Source organism: Homo sapiens, chromosome 6, assembly GCF_000001405.40.
Source record: "Homo sapiens chromosome 6, GRCh38.p14 Primary Assembly".
Taxonomy (NCBI): Eukaryota; Metazoa; Chordata; class Mammalia; order Primates; family Hominidae; genus Homo; species Homo sapiens.
In genome coordinates this window covers 10,060,001-10,083,478 of record NC_000006.12, presented here as the reverse complement: position 1 = coordinate 10,083,478, position 23,478 = coordinate 10,060,001, and the positions used below count along the sequence as shown (strand labels likewise).

Here is a 23,478-nt window from a genome sequence, read left to right as displayed (position 1 = left end):
TAAACTTCTCCTCTCTTAAAGTTTAAAAACATTTTTAGTATCTGTTAAGTGCTCATGTTGTGCTCAGCACTTAACCAGTGCTATAAATGTTGCACTATATGAGAACCATATGATACAGACTCCACACTAGAGGTTTCCACATCTAAAGGAGAGCAAGGTACATGTCGTCTGTGTGTACATACCTATGTTTGAGTATGTGTGTGTATACATATAGTGTAGAGCTATATCTCAAGCACATATATGTACACACTTTTACATGTTTTAAGCCAACGTAATGTACACATGGATACATGAGTGTGTGCACATGCATACACACACACACACACACACACACACACACAGTAGTCTTTCCATAATCCGAAGTCCTAGACTTTAAGAAAAATATATGGTAGAGGAGCTGAAGTCAAAAGTAAAATTTAAAATCCTATGAAGTTCATTAATAGAAAACAAACACCAACACTAAATAAATCCCAAGGCAATGATATTTTGTAACATTGGGTGTGGAGCTGTTTGTTTCATTGGCCATCTTTTGCTTCCTAGAAACTGTTCAGCAACTCTCCTCACTCAATTTTTAATGAGTCGCTGCTTACTGAGTATTTAGCTTTGTTGAAATCAATATGGTGTGCATTTGTCTGTCCTCAGTCAAGTGTTCAGTGCTTTCCTGACTTATGCATTTTCCTCTAAGCACTTTTAGGGTCCACTGAAGTCTTGGGGATATCCAGTAACTTGGCTGCCCATAAAAATCTTATGCCAAAACATGAGTCATTTATGCTTCCACACACTTCTGTCTGTCTTTCTCCTGACTGAGGATAAAAAGAGATGTCCAAGGCCAGGATCTTCCTTCCCTCATGTTCCCTTATTTCCTCCAAGACTTCACTGCAAAAAAAAAGCCCCACCGCAGAGAGGATGAGTTGATAGCTATGAGGCAATCCATTCTGCTTTTGACACTGCTTCCCTTTTTTATTTCCCCAAGTTTCCTGTTTTACTCAACAGGTCTAACAGGAGTGATTCACAGCTTCATATACTAGAATCAAGAAGATACAAAAAGTAAATTTGTTTGCTGGAAATTTATATGGAGGGATTATTGTGTTAATATTTAACAAGTTATATATAAAACTCGGCATATATCACATTTTAGCAGCTACAAAACATTTAAGAAAACAAGAACTAATATTTTGTGTTTATTATTTCATCAGTAAACAAGTGTTTATTGAGGACCAACTATGTGCCAGACACAGTATCAAACACTGAGCATGCAAAGGAGAATGAGAAGAGTGTGGTTCTTGCCCGCATGGAGCTGTGTCAGGCATCATGCTAAATGCTGGGGGTACATCCTCATTTTACTCTTGCAGCAACTTTATGAAAATAAGTCTTCCTGTTTTATAAAGGAGGTGCTATTGTCTGAATGTTTGTGTACCCCCCAAATTAATATTTTGAAACCTAATCCCACTTTGATCTTGGATTTTCCAAGCTCCAGAACTATCAGCAATATATTTCTACTATTTGTAAGTTACTTAGTCTAAAGTATTTTGTTGCGGCAGGCCAAATGAACTAAGACAGAAATTGCTACCAAAAAATAGAATGTGGCTATAACGAATGCTTAAAAACCTGGAAGTGGCTTTGGAACTGAGTTATGGGTAGAGCTTGGAAGAGTTCTGAAGTGCATGCTAGAAAATGCCTACATCACCAAGAATGGATCTTAAAGGATGACTCCATTGAGGGATCAGAAGAAGAGGGTTGTAGACAAAGCTTCAATCTTCTTAGAGATTACCTAAGTGGTCATGATCAGAATGTTGGTAGAAATTCGGACAGTAAAGGCCATCCTGAGGAGGTCTCAGATGGAAATGAGGAACGTATTATGGGAAACTGGTGGAAAGGTGATCTCTGTTACAAAGTGGCAAAGAGCTTGGCTGAACTGTGTTGGTATCCTAGTGTTCAGTGGACGGTAGTGCTCGTGGATGGTGAAATTGAATATTTGGGAGAAGAATCCTCTAAGCACAGTGCTGTGGGTGCTGCACGGCTTCTCTTGACTGCTTATAGGAAATGCGAGGAGACAGAAAAGATTCAAAGACAGAATTTATCATCAAAAGGGAAGCAGAAGTTAAAGATGCAGAAAATTCTCAGCCTGCCGATATTGTAACAAATGAGAAAGCATGTTCGGGAGAGCACACCAAAGGTGTGAGTAAGGAGATTAGTATGTACCAGCCACATGCTATTCATCAAGACAATAGAAGAGTGACTCTTAAGGCATTTTAAAGATCTGTGGGGCTGCCACTCCCATCACAAGTCCAGAGTGCCAGGGCCTCAAGGACAGGACCGTTTCAAAGGAGAGGACCAGGGTGCCTGTGGGATCTCAGGGCTCTCTGCCCAGCGCCACCTTAAAGCTCTGCTCCCTACTTGTCAGCAGTAGTCCTCGGCTGCCCTAGGTTTGGTTCGAGCAAGCCGTGGTACAGTGGTGGCTACTCCTCCAGAGAGCACAGGCAGTAAATCTTGGTGGCATTTGCATGGTGCCATCTTCACATCTTCACTGGTTTGCAGAGTGCATGGGCCATGGGAGTGTGGCTGCCTCCAAAAAGATTTCAAATGATGCCCAGGAGAGTCTTGGGGCTCAGAGAGCTGAAATGGGCTCCTCTCAGTAGCCGCCTTGATATAGTGGCTCCCAGATCCAGAGCTGCTACAGCTATGCTACAGCTATAACAAGGGGATATAGCTGTGTACTGATTGCACAATCATTTTTCAGTTCTGGCACTATAATTCCCCAAAAGAAGCAACCCCTCTTGTAATGTGTTTAATTTTTTTTTTTTTTTTTTTGAGATGAAGTTTCACTCCTGTCGCCCAGGCTGAAGTGCAGTGGTGCGATCTTGGCTCGTTGAAACCTCTGCCTCCTGGGTTCAAGCAATTCTCCTGCCTCAGCCTCCTGAGTAGCTGGGATTACAGGCAGCCACCACCACACTCGGCTAATTTTTTGTATTTTTTTTTTAGTAGAGACAAGGTTTTGCCATATTGGGTAGGCTAGTCTTGACCTCCTGACCTCAGGTGATCTGCCTGCCTCGGCCTCCCAAAGTGCTGGGATTACAGGCAGAAGCCGCCGTGCCTGGCCTAATTTCTATAACTATGTGGTTGTTATAATTTTTTCCCCATAAAAATAGCATTAATAAAACTTCAGAAAGAAAATTTTAAAAAACCTCTAGCTTACAAAATATTCTAGCAAAAGATATATCAAATACATTTTCTTGTGAAGAGGTAAGAATCACTGAGTTTCCTTCTGAAACAAAAATCTGATCTATCTTTTCCTCAGTGCATTTGTATTTTCATTTATCAAAACAATATGCATACATCAAAAGTGTAGTTAGGAAGCCCATTCATAACCAGTATTCAACAGTTATTGTGCATGTAAAGAAGTCTACTATCCCCTGAACTCAAAGCACTCTTCAGAATTTATTGAGCATGGAAGAATAAATTTTTTACTACAGATAAAATGGCAAAACAGGAAACATTAAAGAAATCTTTTTTACACCTCTAATCGCTATTTCTTTCTGGCAGCTATCTCTTTGGAGAAAGATATCTAATGACCTCTCTTTACCAATCAGATTATTATCATAATGGGTTCATGTCCTAAAGACATCACATTAAAGTAGACGCAGTAGCTGAACTCAGATTTTATGGAATATAAATTTAGACATTTTCCTGCCTTACATGGTGAGTTTTAAAATAAAACATCAAGGCATCAAGAAAAAGTGCCACTTTATTCATGCAGACTAAACTTCTTGTTCTTCTTATCATATTTATGTTAACACACATGCTCACACACTTTCTCAATCAGGTAGTATTTGCAGGAGGCAAATACATTTCTTGTTCAAAATGTCTCTAGTTTATTGTAGTTTGTGGGCCCACAAATCGTTCAGCCCAAAGGAGTACAGGAAAAATGGGGAACAAGAACCACAGCTCTGCTTACGGAGGTTCACAGACACCCAGTCAGTACAAAATAATGAGGTGTACTTGCTTGTTTTGCCTAAAATGCAGCAGTGATATGGATTAGGAATGTTTAGTAGCCTTGTGGCCCTGCCAATGAGTAAAATACACATTCAAGGAGAAAATAAACTTCCTCTTGAAATACCTGCACTACTTCTGTTTAAACTGTTACACCATGAACCTGAATTCATCCTATGCCTAACAACATTTTTCAGGTAAATTAGGCTGCCTGATAGCTGATACCTACCAGTCACAAGAGGAAATATGCTCCAAGATGGAGAGAATGACCACTTGCCAAAAGACCACTTCCTGTCTTTATTAGACACCAGTGAGCCATTCTGGTTGGTAACTGCCCCTCACTGTGACGAATAGACTGGTTCGGAGTTCATTTTGCCAAATCAGCTTGGTGGTGCCCTCAGATTTTGCCAGTAGGAAACCAGTGTCTGCTCCTGCAGGAACCAATTTGTTCCTTCATGGAACTAAAACCACTGTTGCTTTCAGTGGATCGTGGGAATTGGAAATAAATACTAGGTTACACTACTAGTGAGAAAATGCACACATGCGCACGCGTGCATAAATATATTAACACATGCATGCACACACAGCAGTTGTTACCTCCTGATGATTTTGGTTTCAGGACTGACCTACACCTCAAACCAAAATGAATGAACAAGCAAAAAAATAGTCTCAGTCTAGGAACTTGGCCAAAAAGGCTTTTAATCCTACATAAGATTTATCGTCAAAATCACTTCCCAACGGAAGTACTTACCCTTCAGTGAAATAACATACCTCAAACTTTTAAAGCTTATTTGTGATCAGGTCCAGTGACATTACCACCATATCTCTAGGTGCAATCAAGTTTGTGTATGGGGTCAGTGTAGTCCACAGAAACACATCAAAAAATGCGGGAAGGTACCCAGAGCTAATGAACCAAGTTTTCTAAAACACTTGTTTCATAGATAACAACAATTCTTTGCAAATAGAAGAAGAGAATCTAATATTCTTGACCCAAATATCTCCCTCAGCTTGGACACCTCATAATTTGAAAACATCCACAGGCAAAGGGGAAAGTTAGTGAAGCCTAAACACACTGAGAATCACAAGGCTAATTCAGGACACTCAGGCACAACCCAAGACATGTCTCAATGACAGAAGTATGTACTTGGTAATGCTCCTTATCTAAATTTGCCTTGTCCATATCCAGAACTCTTTGCATTCTGTAAATAATAAATTATCATAAGCCTTACCTGATTATTCTAAGTTATTCCCCCCTCAGGTAGAAAATTTGAAAGAACATGATTTTGCTGTAGTTTAAAAAGTGCAAAATCAATGTGAGCTGGGTGCTATCTCTGAACTGATCCTATACAGTTAAAAAAAAAATCTGTATTTGTGTAGTTCTTGCTGTGGACTGAATTGTGTGCCATCCCACGCCCACTACTGGCCCAAATTCTTTTCTTTCTTTTTTTTTTTTTTGAGACTGAGTCTCATTCTGTTGCCCAGCCTGGAATGAAGTGGCGTGATCTGGGCTCACTACAACCTCTGCCTCCCGGGTTCAAGTGATTCTCCTGTCTCAGCCTCCCCAGTAGTTGGGATTACAGGTGTGCGAAACCACACCTGGCTAATTTTTAGTGGAGACGGGGTTTTGCCATGTTGGTCAGGCTGGTCTCAAACTCCTGACCTCAGGTGATCCACTCACCTTGGCCTCCCAAAGTGCTGGGATTACAGGCGCGAGCCACTGCGCCCAGCCTACTGCCCCAAATTCTTATATTGAAGTTACAACCCCCAAAGTAACTGTATTTGGAATAAGGAGGTGATTAAAGTTAAATGAGGTTATAAGAGTTGGGCCCTAATCTGATAAAGCTAGAGTCCCTATAAGAAGAGGCCGAGTGTGGTGGCTCATGCTTATAATCCCAGCACTTTGGGAGGCCAAGGAGGCAGGACTATGTGGTCAAGAGATTTGAGACCATCCTGGCCACCATGGTGAAACCCTGTCTCTACTAAAAATAAAAAATTAGCTGGATGTGGTGGCGTGCGCCTGTAGTCCCACCTACTCGGGAGGCTGAGGCAGGAGAATCACTTGAACCCAGGAGGCAGAGGTTGCAGTGAGCTGAGATTGCGCCACTGCAGCCTGGGCGACAGAGCAAGACTCTGTCTCAAGAAAAAAAAAAAAAGGAAAAGAAGAAACACCATAGTGGTCTGTGATTTGAAAATATAGTGACACAGTCGCTGTCTACAAGCCAGGAAGAAGACCCTCACCAGGAACTGAATTGGCCAGCACCTTGATCTTGGATTTCCCAGCCTCTGGAACAATAAGAAATACATTTCCATTGTTTAAGCCACCCAGTCTGATTTGTTTTTATAGCAGCCCAAACACACTAAGATGATTCTTTTTTACTTGTTTAATAGGTCTACAGATGGACCATCTAGGCTTCTCTTTTAACAATTCCAAACCTGTCCTCATATTGAAAGTTCAGCTGAGACACACAACTATTAAATAATTGCCGAAGGGCATAGCCCAGGCATCTGGAGGCCCTTTCAGTGCACTCAGGACTCTGGAGATTCTGATGGAACCCTCTGGAGATCGGGGTGGGCAGCTAGCCCTGCCATCCGGCTGTGTCTGATAGCATTCTTGCCCAGTCACCCATGGCCGCTAAGGGGTGTCTTCCATAACCCTCTGCAACCCTGGGATAGAAAAGACATTCAAGAAGCACTGACTTATCCCTTGCAGTATTAGTTTCAGGGCCTTTAAATATATGTATGTAAATATAAATATAAAGTTTTAGAGCCTTTAAATATATGTATGTATATGCATGTATATGTACACACATATATGTGTAAGTATAATGTCTTAGGGCCTTTAAATATATATATTTAAATCTATATGAATTTATATAAATATATTAATATAAATTTATATAAATATATCTATATATAAAATATATTTAAAGGCCCTAAAACTTTATATTTACATATATATGTGTGTGTATATATATGTGTGTGTATATATATTTAAAGACCATATATATATATGTATATATAGAGAGAGTCTTCTTGGATACCATTTTTTTTTTTTTTGAGATGGAGTTTTGCTCTCGTGCAAAGGTGCGATCTTGGCTCACCGCAACCTTTGCCTCCCGGGTTCAAGCGATTCTCCTGCCTCAGCCTCCTGAGTAGCAGGGACTACAGGCGCCTGCCACCACACCCAGCTAATTTTTGTATTTTTCTCCATGTTAGCTGCTGGTCTCGAACTCCTGATCTCAGGTGATCCACCCACCTTGGCCTCCCAAAGTGCTGGGATTACAGGCGTGAGTCACCGTGCTTGGCCACCAATTTTTTTTTTTTAATAAAGATGGGATCTTGCGAAGTTGCCCAGTCTGGTCTTGAACTCCTGGCCTCAAGCAATCCTCACACCTCAGCCTCCCAAAGGGCTGGGATTACAGTTATAGGGGCTTTTTTAAGGGAAAAGGAACTTTGCCCTTTATTTTCTTACTGAGTTCAAGGATAGCTGCTTAACACAACCAAGTCCTTACCCCTAGTTCCATCTCCCACCTTCTTAAACCAAGCACAGACCTGATCTAACCTTTTCTTGATGCCTCAAGATTATCTTCATGTAGATAATTTTTATACAGGTCTATAATTCAATGTTACCACTAGAGAAAGAGGTTTGCCGGGCTGTTTCTACACCGAATGAAACCAGACAGCTTTTTGTTGTTGTGAATTTTGTTTTTTACTCATATAGGCAATAGGTTTGGAAATTTTTAAGCACTTTCTTTGTCTTAATTAGACGGCATTATGATACTGATTATAATAGATAATTGTTGACGTTAATCAAAACAACCAACTTTCCAATTGAATTGATAAACCAATCAGTCCCCCAAGGCACTTTGTAGCATACTATGTAGAGTGAGAATAATTAGATGTATTTGTACAATATGGTGAAAATTAAAAGTAAAAAAAATTATATGATTTGTAACTGTAATTTAAAGTGTTTGGATTTTTTTTTCAATGATAATTATCATCAGCGATTCTCTGAAGAAATTGCTAATAAAATTCACTGGGACTTATAAACTGAGGAGCCTAAGTGGAAAATTAAACAAGTAAATACCTATTGTTTTTGAAAGAACAATATGCACATTTGCTTATTTTCTTAAACTGGATTGTCTTTATTCATCCGAGCATAGAAAGATGCTGTTTGAAAAGGGCTTTAGCCTGTAAGAAATTCACATGCCCCTCAAATGCCCGCATATTAATCGGTTGGATCCTTTTGAGAGGTGACAGCATGCTGGCAGCCCCAGCAGCACTCGCTCGCTCTCTGCGCCTCCTCGGCCTTGGCGCCCACTCTGGCCGCGCTTGAGGAGCCCTTCAGCCCGCCGCTGCACTGTGGGAGCCCCTTTCTGGGCTGGCCAAGGCCGGAGCCGGCTCCCTCAGCTTGCGGGGAGGTGTGGAGGAAGAGGTGCGGGCGGGAACCGGGGCTGCGCGCGGCGCTTGCGGGCCAGCGCGAGTTCCGGGTGGGCGTGGGCTCGGCGGGCCCCGCACTCGGAGCGGCTGGTTAGGCGGCCGGCCGGCAGGCAAGCCCCGGGCAGTCAGGGGCTTAGCACCTGGGCCAGCAGCTGCTGTGCTCGATTTCTCGCCGGGCCTTAACTGCCTCCCCGCGGGGCAGGGCTCGGGACCCGCAGCCCGCCATTCCTGAGCTTCCCCCCGCCACCGTGAGCTCCTGCGCGGCCGGAGCCTCCCCGGCGAGCGCCACCCCCTGCTCCACGGCGCCCGGTCCCATCGACCGCCCAAGGGCTGAGGAGTGCGGGCGCAGGTGCGGGACTGGCAGACAGCTCCACCTGCGGCTCTGGTGCGGGATCCACTGGGTGAAGCCAGCTGGGCTCTTGATCTGGTGGGGACTTGGAGAATCTTTATGTTTAGCTGAGGGATTGTGAATACACTAATCAACACTCTGTATCTAGCTCAAAGTTTGTAAACACACCAATTAGCACCCTGTGTCTAGCTCAGGGTTTGTGAATGCACCAATTGGCACTCTGTATCTAGTTAATCTGGTGGGGACTTGGAGAACCTTTATATCTAGCTAAGGGATTGTGAATGCACCAGTCGGCACTCTGTATCTAGCTCAAAGTTTGTAAATGCACCAATCAGCACTCTGTGTCTAGCTCAGGGTTTGTAAATACACCAGTCCACACTCTGTATCTAGCTAATCTAGTGGGGACGTGGAGAACTTTTGTGTCTAGCTCAGGGATTGTAAACACACCAATCAGCACCCTGTCAAAACGGACCAATCAGCTCTCTGTAAAACAGACCAGTCGGCTCTCTGTAAAATGGACCAATCAGCAGGATGTGGGTGGGGCAGATAAGAGAATAAAAGCAGGCTGCCCGAGTCAGCACCGGTAGCTTGCTTCTTGGAAGCTTTGTTTTTTTGCTCTTTGCAATAAATTTTGCTATTGGCTACTGCTCACTTTTTGGGTCTACACTGCTTTTGAGCTGTGATACTCAGCGTGAAAGTCTGCAGCTTTACTCCTGAAGCTCAGCGAGACTATGAACCCACCTGCAGGAACGAACGACTCCGGACGCGCTGCCTTAAGAGCTGTTAACACTTACCGCAAAGTTTTGCAGCTTCATTCCTGAACCAGCGTAGACCATGAACCCATCAGAAGGAAGAAACTCCGAACAGATCTTGAACATCAGAAGGAACAAACTCAGGAACCGCCAGCTTTAAGAATTGTTAACACTGAGCGCGAGGGTCCGCGGTTTCGTTGTTGACATCAGTGAGACCAAGAACCCACCTTTATACTTAGCCTTTAGTGTCCTGGTGTGGACAAAGAATTCTGAACAAGTCTTGATGTGGAGGGGAATGCTCTGTCACTCTTAGAGAGTTGAGAAGTGTATGTGGGCGGAGTTGTGCCGCTGGAATCAGACTAAGGTTAAAATACCGTTCCCAGTGGACAGAAAAGCCCTTTAATGGAGTGATGCGCAACCACTAATCCCTAGGGGCTTGTTAACCCTGTCTCTGGGCCACTGGAACGACTCCCAGAGTTTCTGCAGGTTTCCGGTCGAGCTGAGAAATTGCATTGCAAAGAATTCCTTAGTGCTGCTGCCGGTGGTCTGAGGACCACCCTTATAAGAATCATCGCTCTGTTGCTGTGAAATAGGACTGTCTGTGTTTTCAGGATCAAGTAAAATCCTGGAATCGTCAGTCCTAGCTAGCATAAGAGGCCAAGATGTCAAAACACCTTCTCCCGGATCATTCAAAATCTGCATAAATACAAGGCCTTAGAATAATCCCATCGAATTTTACAGCTTTCCAAGGCAAGTATCTTCTAACATACATTTGTATCTATATCTGTGTGTGCGTGTGTGTGTATACACTTACGTGTATATTTAATAAGTCAAATGCCTTTCCACTATTTTCTTCCCTTGTAAATTATCTGAGGTAAAAAAAGTGCTGGGGTGACCCTACACTTGATCCTCTTCCTATTGTGGTTGAAGGTATTTTTTGGCCAAGAAAAATAAAGAGTTCATTTTTAAAGTCATGCAGTGGGAGATCTAAGAATGAGATTTAAATTTTTGATGCTGAATCTCGTTTATATGTATTCCAAAATAATCTTTTTTTTTGTTTTGTTTTGAGACAAGGTTTTGCTCTCTTGCTCAGGTTGGAGTGCAGTGGCACGATCTCGGCTCACAGCAACCTCTGCCTCCCGCTCCTGGGCTCAGTCCTCTCACCTCAACCTTCCGAGTAGCTTGGACCATAGGTTTGCACCTCCACACCTTGCCAATTTTTGAATTTTTTGTAGAGACTGTTTCCCCATGTTGCCTAGGCTGCCTTTGAACTCCTGGGCTTAAGCAATCCACCCACCTCGGCCTCCCAAAGTGTACAGGCGTGAGCCACCACACCTGGCCCAGGGTAATCTTTGAAAACAAATTATACTTAGTATAGTCCCTAGAGAGCAAGGGTCTTAAATTGGGGTTTTTGGTTCCTAAGAATTGCATAGGTTTATAAAGCGATATTTTAACTCCCTGAAATCATATATAAAACATCATATATATGAGAACTACACTTTTCCAGAAAAAGGGTCCATTACTTTTAAAAGCTTCCCACAGCTATCAGATAACTTTTTTTTTTAACTTCAGAAAGAAAATGTGTACCTATACATGTAATAGAATCTTTACATGTCAATACTGGATTTCTCTAAAATCACATGAAAATCAAACTATTGATTTAAAATATTCACCTGGACATAATGCTGTGCTGTGTCCCACAATAAGTCAAAGACATGTACTCGCTACCTTGCTTTCCGAAGTCAATTTGGAAAAAACATCACGGCATATACAGGTGACAATATAAACAATGACCCAGTTCAGAAATCATGTAAATATCTAAGACATTTACATTACAGACAATGGCACCACTGTATTTTTCACAATAGGGGAAGAGCCAGGGATGTTGCGTGCTCAGAGTTATGTTGAGTAGAAATCAATGCCTCTCTTCCAGTTTGTCAAGACTGGCTTCACGGAGACTGTGGGACTTTTCTCGTCTCTTCATTCCTCCCACCCTTTTCACAACCAAGTTCTCAGTTTATTTTTGGAGAAAGGACAGAGGGTGGTTATGTTAACAGCATAGATATTTAAGTGTTTACATTTTATTCAGTGACCTGTTTGATTTGAAGAGTTTCAAATGAAAAAATAGGTTGGGAATAGGCTTCCAATGAAGTTGAACAAAGCTCACTTTCATGTGAAAACAGACTGAGAATTGTGTGTTGGAACATTGCTGTTGTCACATTGTCACCTATGGAATGGAGCTCAAAACCAAGGAGTGGGGGAAGTTGCTTATGACTAAAGATTCAAAAGAATGTCATTGTAAGGAAGGTGCCTATAGGGCACTGCCCAGGGAGGCAGCATGGTTCACTGAATGGTGAGTTTTCCAGGCATTTAGAAGTCACGTGAAATCCTGGAAGAATCAGTTCTGTTGGTCAGCAGAAAATGTTTGGCTGCCAATTCTATGTAACTATAATACATTAATCTAGTATGCCTTACAAAGTCTCCACATAAGGTCTGCAAACTTTAAAGCTCTCCAAGACAATTATCTTTTGATTGAAAAACAATTAATATGATTACTCGACTAGGCTTAAAGAAACAATGAATGATTGGAAGTGGTGGGTTCTCTCTTCTTTCTCTTTTTGTAATCTGACAGCACAGTTAGTTTACCATAAGACAGAACTGGAGGCTCATCCTACTCCTCCATTTACGAGCTCTATGAAAGCAAAACCTTATTTATCCAACCTGAGCCTCAACTTTCTTATAGGTAAATGGGGGATAATAGTGGGGTTTTGTTATAAGAACTAAGTAATAGACACAAAGCATCTGGCATATAAGCTCATAAAAATGCTGGTTCCTTCCTCATTCTTGGGGATTTTAAAGATGACACTCAAGTAAAACTCCACCGTAGTTTAATCTGGATCACTCTGTGGTGGTGTCTACGAATGAAATATTCAGGTACTTCAATTCAAATATTGTTTCTAATTTTGGAAAATCATGTACCTGTCAGCATATATGAATGTATTATATAAAGATAGTCTCATTATAAAGGAGTTTTTAAAAAAATTATTCTCTCTACAAACACTGAAAATGTAATACTTTTTTTTTTTTTTTTTTTGAGACGGAGTCCCGCTCTGTCGCCCAGGCTGGAGTGCAGTGGCGGGATCTCGGCTCACTGCAAGCTCCGCCTCCCGGGTTCACGCCATTCTCCCGCCTCAGCCTCCCAAGTAGCTGGGACTACAGGCGCCCGCCACTACGCCCGGCTAATTTTTTGTATTTTTAGTAGAGACGGGGTTTCACCGTTTTAGCCGGGATGGTCTCGATCTCCTGACCTCGTGATCCGCCCGCCTCGGCCTCCCAAAGTGCTGGGATTACAGGCGTGAGCCACCGCGCCCGGCCGAAAATGTAATACATTTAAAAAAATAAACAGGAAATCAGTGTCATTGCCTAGTGTTTTGCAGGCTGAGACATTATTCCTAATTTGAAATCATTGGAGTGGATGTTATTCTCTAGATTGGAGAGTGGCCTCCAGGGGATGTTTGTACACTCTGATGTTTGGGGGAATATGTTATTTACCACCTGTAAGTTGGCTATCTTGTTATTTTTGTTGAGAGTAAAGCTGTGGCCTTTACCTCCATTAGGTAGTGTAGTTTGGTTAATGGATGGCTAACAGGAAAGAGTGTAAGGGAAGCCAATGTTAATGTGAACTCCTGCCGTTTTTATTATAGTGGCACCCGCAATAGTTAAGGTTGAGCAGCCATTTCCATTATGAACTCCTATTTCAGGGGTTTATAACTGAGCTGTAAAAATTTGCTCCAGGCTAAAACTCTCCTGATCGGGTCTTAGCCTGGGAGAATTTTTCCCCCTATAATTTTTTTGAAAAGTAGAAATCAATTTAGCCATTTAAAATAATTTCAAAACATGGAAATTTAAAAAAATCTGTAATTTTTATCACCTTAATTTCGGAGGTTGGAACCGATGATGATTACATTTCCACATCTCTAACAAGAAAAGTGTCAAAATCATACCTTTCACATGTACATGTCAAATGTCTAAAGCAGATTGATGTAGCAATGTATCAAAAGCAGTGATTTCTTAGGCCATAAAATGAATCATTAAGTGTTAAAAATATACCAATATTGTGCTTATTTTAACAATATTTATTTCTTAATTAGATCTGGCCATAGAAATTGGGTAACTCTTCCTAGAACTTAATCACTTTGCATGTTAGCAAAACAATACATTGACATGTTAAATAGATTGAAGTCTATTGAAGACATTAATACCATTTTTATACACATGTTTAGAAGTATTTGAGAGATAGAAGAGGGCTTACCCACCTGGCCATAGAAAGCTTTATATATACCTGATAACAATAGGAGTCCATCTGGTATGATAGGAAAACCATAGGTACTGACATCACAGTATGTGATGTTTTATTATTACTTAGGTATAGTGAGGCCAACAGATTAGGGGATAACTGCCATTGATAAAAATGATTTACAGACCCCAAAAGCAAAGGGGGGCCATGCCATGCCATGGGGTGTAGGGGGCACAGGGACAGCAACAGGGTCAGTCAGGAGGCAGAGGGGGAGGGTGGGACTGTGAACAGAAGCCTTATGGTTTCCATGGGAAAGAATAGACAAAGCAGAGTGAACATGCTTTGGATTGGCTAGTTTGAATAATTTTGGGGGGCTCTGGGGTAGAGGGGCTGTCCCTCCATATTCAGCAAGGCTCAGATGTCAAGAGCTTCAGCATATAGAAAATCAAAAGACATGATTAGCATATAGCATCAAGGCTGAACTCCTGGACCTGACACTTCCTGATGTGCTAAATGAAGACTGGGCAAGAATTAACGAGTCTCCATTTCTACCTCATTGAAGAGGGGATCATAACTATGCCTCTATCCTCCTCTCAGCTGGATTCCAGACTACTCCTCCTGCTAGCTATGTGCCCTTGGGTAAGTTACTAAACTTCTCTGTGCTTTAGTTTTCTCATTGTTTTTGATGGTGAGAATAAAATGGTCTATGTCACAGAGTTGCTGTGAGGATTAAATAAAATATCCCAAGTGAAGCAATCTACCTGGGCTGGCACATAGCAAACACTAAATGAATGGTAGTTACTTCAAAAACGTAATTTTCTCATAAGCCCAACTCTCTATTCCGAAAGTCCATGGACTTGGAGGATGTTGATTTTGAAAAATGGCTCTAAATATAGTAGAGTAGGGAGAAAAAGCATTCTTGTTTCTCTCTGAGTCATCTTTTGGTTATTAATTTAACTTGGTTGTTACCTTTCGGTACAAATGCATTCCAGGAAGGGAGCTCCAGTGAGTTTCAAGGATGCTCAATGCGATGGCAGGATACCATGAGGGGGTTGCTAAGTAAGTCATCTTGCTTGTTCTTCCAAGGCCTCTACTCCCTCCTCTCCTCTATCCATTTCTGTCATTGACTTCAGAAGTCATTGACGGGGATCCAAATTTCTCCTAAACATGGCTAACATGATCACTTTGAACCAACACAATAAACTATTTACCTGTGCTGGCTGGACAAAAGAAGGGTTTTTTAAAAACATTCAATTTTAATTTTATTTTTCAAAACGTTTATTAAACTTTGTTTTAGGAGAAAACACCTGCGTCAATAAATGGTATCAATAGCCAATGGACCAAGTTCACTTGCTACTCTGCTTTCTCCTCAAAACAAACAAACAAACAAACAATTGAACAACCTCTAAAACTTCCAGGAGAAATAAACATAACCTAGCCAAGAACAGAGTTTTATACAATTCTATACACATTCTTTTAAGTCAGTCATTTTGAAACCTGTTACATGCATTTTCCTAATAGGGAATAACAGTTATTATTGCAAAATATGTTTTTGATACAACACAATGTACGTGATAGTAGCTCTGTTCAGTATTTCTCATATTTAGCTGGAGGTATATGGTACAATTGCTTAAAAAGTTGTATATATTGGCTTTTACAGACGTGTGGCTATGTGAAGTTAATGGAATAAATGGGTACCTTTTTCATTTGAGTAAAGGAAACAGAATTCTTCTAATAGCTGTGGCAAAAGCAAAGGCTCCTTTAGTGAAGCATGAATTAGTAAATCATATTAAAGTAACTCTTTCCAAATTGTGATATTATTGTGTCAAAGTGTAGGAAGATTTTTATGGTTCAATTTTATGGTTCAATGTTGCAATCCATAATTGTACCAGGTTGCACTGTCATGAACAGTGCATAAATACACAATTTTTGTTTTGGTCTCAACCGGCAATGCATTCTAAAAGTAAATAAAATTTTGCTAATTTAATTGGTATGATAGTTTGGTGTTGAGTTAATTTGTATTTCTTAAACTCTTAGTGAGATTAGGTATTCTTTGTGTTTCCTTATTGGTTAATTTTTACTTCAAGTATTTAACCTTTGGCTATTAGCTGTTGCAATCTTAATATTTCTCTTACAAATTTGTATGTGCTCCTTAGGTGTTAACTAATTATATACAACAACATTTTATTTCCCATCTAGTTTTTATTTCAGTTATTCATAACATTATGTTGTGTAAAAGTTTGTTTGCTTCCAGGAGTATAGGTGGTGAGATATTTAACTTTTTTGTTGTCAATTTATAACTCCATAGCATTGTGATTAGAGATTGTGATCTGTACGCTTCCAGTTTTTCAAAGATTGTTGAAGTTATTTTGTGGCCTTTTACATGGTCAAGTTTTTAAGTGTTCCATGTATACTTGAAAAGAACATGTATTTTTCAATTGTTAGTGCATTGTTCTCTATATGCCAGTTGGATCAAACTGATTTTTGTATTGTTCAATCTATATCCTTAAAAATTTTTGCTGTTTGATATGCTACTAGGAGAAGCATGTTAAAACCCCCTACTCTAATGATATATTTGTAAGTTTCTTTTTATGATTCCATCAGTTTTTGTTTTGTACATATTGAAGCTATCTTATTTGATGCATATATATTTGGAATTATTTTGCTTTTGGATGAAATGCTTTTTTAAAGAATTATATAGAAATCCTTTTTATAATCAGTAGATTTTAATGAAATCTACTTTATCTGTTATTTGTATAAGAATACCAGATGTCTTTTGGTTAGTGTTTTTTTAATATATTTACCCCCATCACTTTGCTTTTAAACTTTCTATATCTTTACAATTTACAATGTCTCTCAGAAACTGCCTAAATTGTAAAAATCCAGGATTTTAATTATCTCTCTTTAAATCATTATGTTTAGGCTTTTATGTTTATTATAATTATGATTTATATGAATCTTTCACATGAAAGTACTCTAATTTATGTATTTGTTCTCCAGTAGCTTCACATTTAGATTATCCAAAATTTCTGATATATTGCTATAAAGAAGTCATCTATAATATTTTAAGATAATAAACTATGGTGTCAGAAGCCCATTGCACACCATTTGCTATGTGATTTTGGATAAATTATTTAAATTGCCCCACCCTCAGAATCCTTACCTGACAAATGGGCATAATTTTCTTATTTACCTCTCTTGAGTCTCCTATGAGTATCATTGGAAATATTTAATGTAAAACAATGATCTTAACAATTTAACATGAATTTGAGAATCATCTTGTCATATTCTCTTCACCTAAACAAAAACAATGGCAACTTTATTGGCATTTGAATTCAATTTCATTAAAACCTTAAGATGATTAGGAATAATTGACATTTTAGTTAATTCAGTATTTCTTTAAAAATGTGGTATCACTTTCCATTATTTAGATAGACTTCATCCTCCCCATGTCCATTGAGATCATCTTTCTCAAACTCAAATAAAATCCTGTTGCTTCTTCATTCAAACTCTTTTTTTTTTTTGGCAGAGTCTTGCTCTGTCATGCAGGCTGGAATCCAGTGGTGCAATCACAGCTCACTGCAGCCTCAACCTCCCCAGCTCAAGCAGTCCTCCCACCTCAGCCTCCCAGTAGCTGGGACCACAGGCACAGCACTACACTTGACTAATTTTTTTTATTATTTGTAGAGATGAGGGCTCACTTTGTCGCCCAGGCTGGTCTTGAACTCCTGGAGTCAAGCCATCCTCCTGCCTCTGCCTTCTAAAATGCTGGGATTACAGGGTGTGATCTACCACACCTGGCCTTCTTTGTTCGAACTCTTTAATGGCCTTCTGTGGTCTACTAAGTGGTGTATGTCCTTGTATTTGACTTGCAAGTTTACTTTTCTGACACAATGCTGTTCAGATTCATCCTGAATTCTAATCATCCCTAATTACCTACAGCTCCATGAACACATGGAGGTCTTGCAGGCTTCACTGTCTGTTTACTTCTGCCTTCTCTCTAGAGTGCCTACCTTCAAATTATATATCTGCCAAATTCATGTTCGATTTTCAAATTTATACTCAAAATTTACATCACAACAAAGCCACTCTATTTGTTTCTCACTCCAATTACTCTGCTTCTATAGTGTAACTACTTCTTTTGTTTCCATGTCTTTTTCTCTCCCAATAGATTTTGGCCCTTGATAGCAGGAATTGTTTATTTTTAAATCTCTGGATCGCCTGAATATAGAATAGAATCTAAAGGTGGAGAGTGCTCAAAAATTGATTAAATTGGTAATCGTATGGCAACTATTCTGAAGGAATGGCAAACTTTTTTGTTTCTAAACAGAAGAAAATTTCTCAAATAGTAATTTTATAACCTAATCACTTCAGAACAATATATATATTGAAATAAAGAAATACCATTCCAGGCATTGTTTAAGACATTAGAATCTACTGTCTTTGCATCCAAATATATGCCATCTTGGCTGGGCACAGTGGCTCACACCTGTAATCCCAGCACTTTGGGTGGCTGAGGTGGGCAGATCACTTGAGCTCAGGAGTTTGAGACCAGCCTGGGCAACATGGTGAAACCCCATCTCTACAAAAAAATACAAAAATTAGCCAGGCGTGGTGAGATGTGTCTGTAATCCCAGCAACTCTGGAGGCTGAGGTGGGAGGATTGCTTAAGCCCGGGAGGCAGAGGTTGCAGTGAGCTGAGATTGCGCCACTGCATTCCGGCCTGGGTGACAGAGTGAGGCCCTGCTGCAAAAACAAAAACAAAAAACCCATCCCCAAAACAAAAAAACAAAACAAATATATGTTATCCTTTCAAGAGTTTATACTTCCAATATAAACTTTATGTCAAAAAGGAAATCCTGTGAAAGTCCTATGGGAAACTTTTTAAGTTGAATAAGAAATATGTCTTATAATTCATTGCAGTACTTACTGTTTTTTATAATCTCATGATAATAAATGTATTAAGGACATAGTCTGTGTTCTAGGTTTTCCCACATGAAAAACTAAAACCAGTAGCCAGTTTCTTGGGTATAATTTCACTGTGTGCTCAGTTAAATAGATGTGTGTTGATGGCATTCTCTTTCATGTCACAACACATAAAATTAAATGTTTCAATTGCTTTGTTTTGCAAGCATTTACAGAAGGTAATTCTACCTGTACTTGTTAGTTTGTTCCCAGTGAAAAAAAATTATATATATATAATACATATATAGTAAATGCTGCTTTAAGTTTATTCTTTTGTATCTGAAAAATAATTACTTCACTATTTGGAATGACTTATAAAATAAAGCATCTGCAATATTTTTCTTCTGACTTGCATAAAAAGAAAAATGAATGTATTATTGTTCATATATTTTATTTGGGGTTTCAAAATTTTGATGTTTAGAGCAGTAGTTCTCAATTTCTTCGAACGCAGCACATGTGAAAGATGACATTAACGTATCTGACACCCTGTGGTTGGTGATGCAGATAAGCTTTGTTATTTCCCCCTGCAAATCCCTGCACGTTGACTGCAATTCCACAGATTTCTCTTCCTCTCCAGAAAGTGTATTTGAATGCAATCAATGAGACTGACCTTAATTAAAAGAATAATTTGCATATAAGCTAATTTCATAAAGAATTAACTCACTTGCACATTTTGTTTTTTGTTATTAATAGTGAATTATGGATGCCCAAATTATGGTGTTTGGTGACAACGGGTTTGAGGAAAAAAAATCAAAGGCAAAAATCTACCAGATATTTTAACAAATTGTAGAAATAGTTGAGAAGCTTAGAAGGGATTTTAAATTCTATAAAGTTTTGGATAAGTTGTGATGATAAGAAAAGAGAAGTTGTAAATTTCATGGGATGTAGGAATTCACCCTTTATTATGAGGTTACTTCATGTATTACGTGAGTCTACTCTAAAATTACCATTCCATTAGATGAAGGAAAGAGAAATAATCCAGAAATAATGGATTAATGCCTTTTAGGGCTTAATTTTTTAAAAGTCTTGATTAAATTGTGTTATAAAAGAAAATACTTTGCATTCATGGTTAATGAAAGAACAGACTCTACGTGTTCTTGTTTTAGTGTGATTACAAGTGTTCTTTCTGGAATGTCCCTTAGTCTCCATATAGGAAAATCCTATATTTCCTTTAGAACATCCTCACAACTCAAATAATTTTAGCCTTGGTGTACCCTGGGGGCTCTAAACTATATTAGCCAGTTGTCTACTCTTATGTCTACTTGGTTTTCTCAAAGGCAGCTCAAAATCAACAGGACCTATCTTTTCCCCCTCAAACTGGATCTTTGGCTGAGAACTGAATGGATGGCCCATAGGGACAGTGGACAGAGTTTCATTCCTGACTTGCTTCCTGGTAATTATCTTGGGCCATTTTTTCATCACCTCTTCCCTAGATCAAGGCATTAGCTTTCTATCCAGTCTCCATAGGTAGCTTGATTTCCATTTCAATTTTTAATGTCTTCTCCATATCCCAGCTAGAGTGACTGAGTTGAAGTATAAATACGATCATGCATGATCCTTCCTCCAGAGCCTGTGTTGTCAGAGTGTACACACAAGCACACACACACATACACACATTCACCCACACAAAACCTTTCAATGACTCCCCAGTTCTAAGATAATGACTAGAATCCTGAATACAATATGCAAGGTCCTGTGTGCCCTGCCTACTGGCCCCAAATTCATTTTGTGTTAGCTGTGTGTACTCCAGCCACACGAACTTTCTCTTGGACACTCTATGCTCCTGTTGGACTTGGTTTCCACAGATACTTTGTCCACACCCATGGGATTCCCCCTGCTTCTCCTCCCAGACTCTCCCTTGGTTAACTATTTATGGTTAACTCCTACTCACCCTTTAAAGCTCAACTTCCAGATCACTTTTTTAGTTGTCTTCTCTGACCCTCTAAATTAGTTTATCCTATACCGAATTCTCATACACAAATCTTAGTTTACTGTGTACAGTTAACATTTACACTATTTTTTTGGTGAAAATTTGATTAAGATCTGCTTTCTACAGTAGATCAGTGTTGTGATGGTGAGGACCTTGCATTTGCACTCACCATTTTATCCTCTCCACATTACATGGCTTAATATCATTCAACCATACTCAAATGTAGGTCTTCTGATTCCAAGAACTACTTTTTAAAATTCCATTTTTTAACTGAGATATATTTACTTTTAGAATGCTATAGGCAATGAACAACCCCAGAGGATTTTTAATTTGGTATCCACAGTGCTTACTTTTATTGGAGATAAACACATTAAAACTATCCTGGATGTTGGCTGAATTACAACCCAGCAGTATGGGGTTATAAGTGCAATATGTAGTGATGACATATTTTCTCCACTTTTCAGGTAGGAAAAAGTAAAACTCAACTCACCCCAGTGAACAACTATAAATAATAATGGTGGCATTCTTCTTTTGTCTCTTTCTTTGCAACTGCTAATGTGCTTTGACAGTTATCTCTATTCTTTTATGAACTTTCTGCCAGCTGTAATAAGTGATGGGGAAATCAGGCAGCAAAATTTTTACGTGCCAATTCTCACCCAACCTTTCCAAAGAAAACAAAAAACAAGAGCGTTTGAGTGTAGAAAACATTTTTGAATGGGATTTTTTTAACTTACAATATATAATTTCAGCTTTAAATATACTATCGTAGGCTTTGAATGTAAGGTTAGTTTTTACATCAGAATAAGTTGATGATGGACTATTTTACAAAAGGAATAGTGCAACTTTTTGAGAAAGATACTATGATACAATGTTAAATGACTATTTACTTTTGTACACATATAAAACATAAATAGAAAATCTTATGTGGTGGAAATATATGTGGTTGCCTTTGCTGCTCAAGAATTTAACCACTTTTACAGAAGTTGTTAAAAAAAATATGGGTGATTTTTCCAGTCCAGACTCTAATAGGAAACTGAGTGGTAAAGTAATACTTTAGTGAATGTTGCTAGCTCAAGCTCAGATTTATTTGCTCCAATGTAAGGTATTAAAACTTGGGCAACTAGTGAGTTATTTCAAAATTGATGATGAGAGTGGAAGTTTCCTTGAAGAAAAAAAGCCTTAAGAGAGGTCAAGACCTCACTGTGACCTCAAATGTAACTATTACCCTACTGGTTAGTTGAAATTGGAGATCAAAGTTCTAATGTGCTAAATGTATTTGGCTGTGAATTGTTTCATGGAAAGGGTAAAAAGAAGTATTTGATAGTATGACTTTTTTTTTAGGAAAATATGTATACTCTTTAAAAAAAATTGTAAACAGCATAATAAAGTAATATTTTATAAAAATGGACTTTCTGATCTCTTACATTCTTTTTATAAGTTAAATGATCTGCACAGATTCTATTAAAATAGATTTTTAAGGTGTACAGTGCTTAGTTCATGTTTATCTGAATTTTAACACATTTTGGGTTTTTACATATATTTTTAAGAACTTCAGGTTTGGGGGAAGAAAAGAAAAGTCCTTTTAACAAGTAACTTTTTCCTTTTATCTTTCGTGCTTTTTTTTTCCCTTTCTTTCCAAAAATGGGCAGTTTTATTGCAAAACATAGTTTTTAAACTGTAATCCTGGGATTACCTAAATCAGAATCATCACACAGGCGCTTGTTAGAAATCCAGGCTCCTGAACCTCACCAGAGACTTGTTGGATCAGTATCTCTGGGGAGGAGCTTGGAATCTGAATATTTAACCAGCTCCCCAGGTGATTCTTACAATATCCTTAAATTTAGGAATCACTCTTTTAGAAGGTATTACAAATATAGGATGAAAGTTACCAGAATTTGGGTGGCAAGCCCTATTCCTACGAAATCCCTCATCTCTTAAGATGAGTGCTAACATCTTTGCAATGAAAGATCTGTCATTCTTTTTTCCCAGATCATCTTCGTCTCACCCAGAATCCCATTTGGTCTGTGTCCTCTTCCCTACTCTGTTTATCGTGGCCTTGGCTGTAGCAGGGGGAAGAGACAAGTCTGGAAAGAACCCTGCCCTTGGGTACGTTCTCATTCTTATTTTTCTCTTGTCATTTATTTCTCCTTGTTTTGCTTCATCTTCTTCGATTCTATTTTTGCTCTTGGGTGTCTGGAATTTAGGAGCGTGGAGTTTGGAGTAAGTAACAGACATTCCTTCATGAGTAACTACAAAGAATATAGCAAGGACTGAATAGTCAGGCAAGGATGCCAACAGGAAAACACATTTTTAAAAGCCAATACTGCCTAGTTGCAGGGTGCAGGTAGAGTTTTAATAATAAACCAAAAGGCAGAAACTAACAAAAAAGGTTTCTGAAGGAGAAAGAGTGATTTTTTTTTTCCCCTGGGCACCACTCAACTCAGGCATTTTTTTTTTCTTGTTGAAAGCAAGGAAGGTTTATAAAATCTCTCTTAGTGCAAGCAACGCAGAAGACATTATATCACAGGGCACTTGCAGAGCACATTTGCAAGCAATTGCATTAATTATGCAGCTAGGAATTAAGATTAGAGCTAGCAGAATTTCAATGAGATACCTAAGTCTGTGTAGTTTAAAAATGAAATTTCCAACAATTGCAACCTATGAGAATTATCTGATGATAGTACATTCGTTCTTATTCAAGGAAGATTTCAGATATGCATAAGGATATTTTGGGAAATAGAAGTCAATCAGAGGA

General features: G+C 39.2%; 1 long non-coding RNA gene and 1 pseudogene across 2 annotated transcripts in view, besides 1 other annotated feature; one reads left to right on the top strand and one right to left on the bottom strand.

Moving 5' to 3' along the window:
* The window catches only part of OFCC1 (orofacial cleft 1 candidate 1 (pseudogene)), a 506,631-nt pseudogene that overhangs the window by 128,130 nt on the left and 355,023 nt on the right, over positions 1-23,478 (top strand). The gene's annotated exons all lie outside the window — the stretch shown is intronic.
* Positions 807-1,007: a silencer, noted in NCBI's record as "peak5651 fragment used in MPRA reporter construct". NCBI's record gives its function as "represses an SCP1 promoter by STARR-seq MPRAs in K562 erythroleukemia cells {active_cell/tissue: K562}" and the evidence as "EXISTENCE:reporter gene assay evidence [ECO:0000049][PMID:32103011]".
* LOC105374919 (uncharacterized) overlaps positions 21,122-23,478 on the bottom strand; it is a 21,159-nt gene continuing 18,802 nt past the window's right edge. Inside the window, exon 3 of the long non-coding RNA XR_926457.2 lies at positions 21,122-21,384. This is a non-coding gene — a long non-coding RNA (uncharacterized LOC105374919). The remainder of the gene's footprint in view (positions 21,385-23,478) is intronic.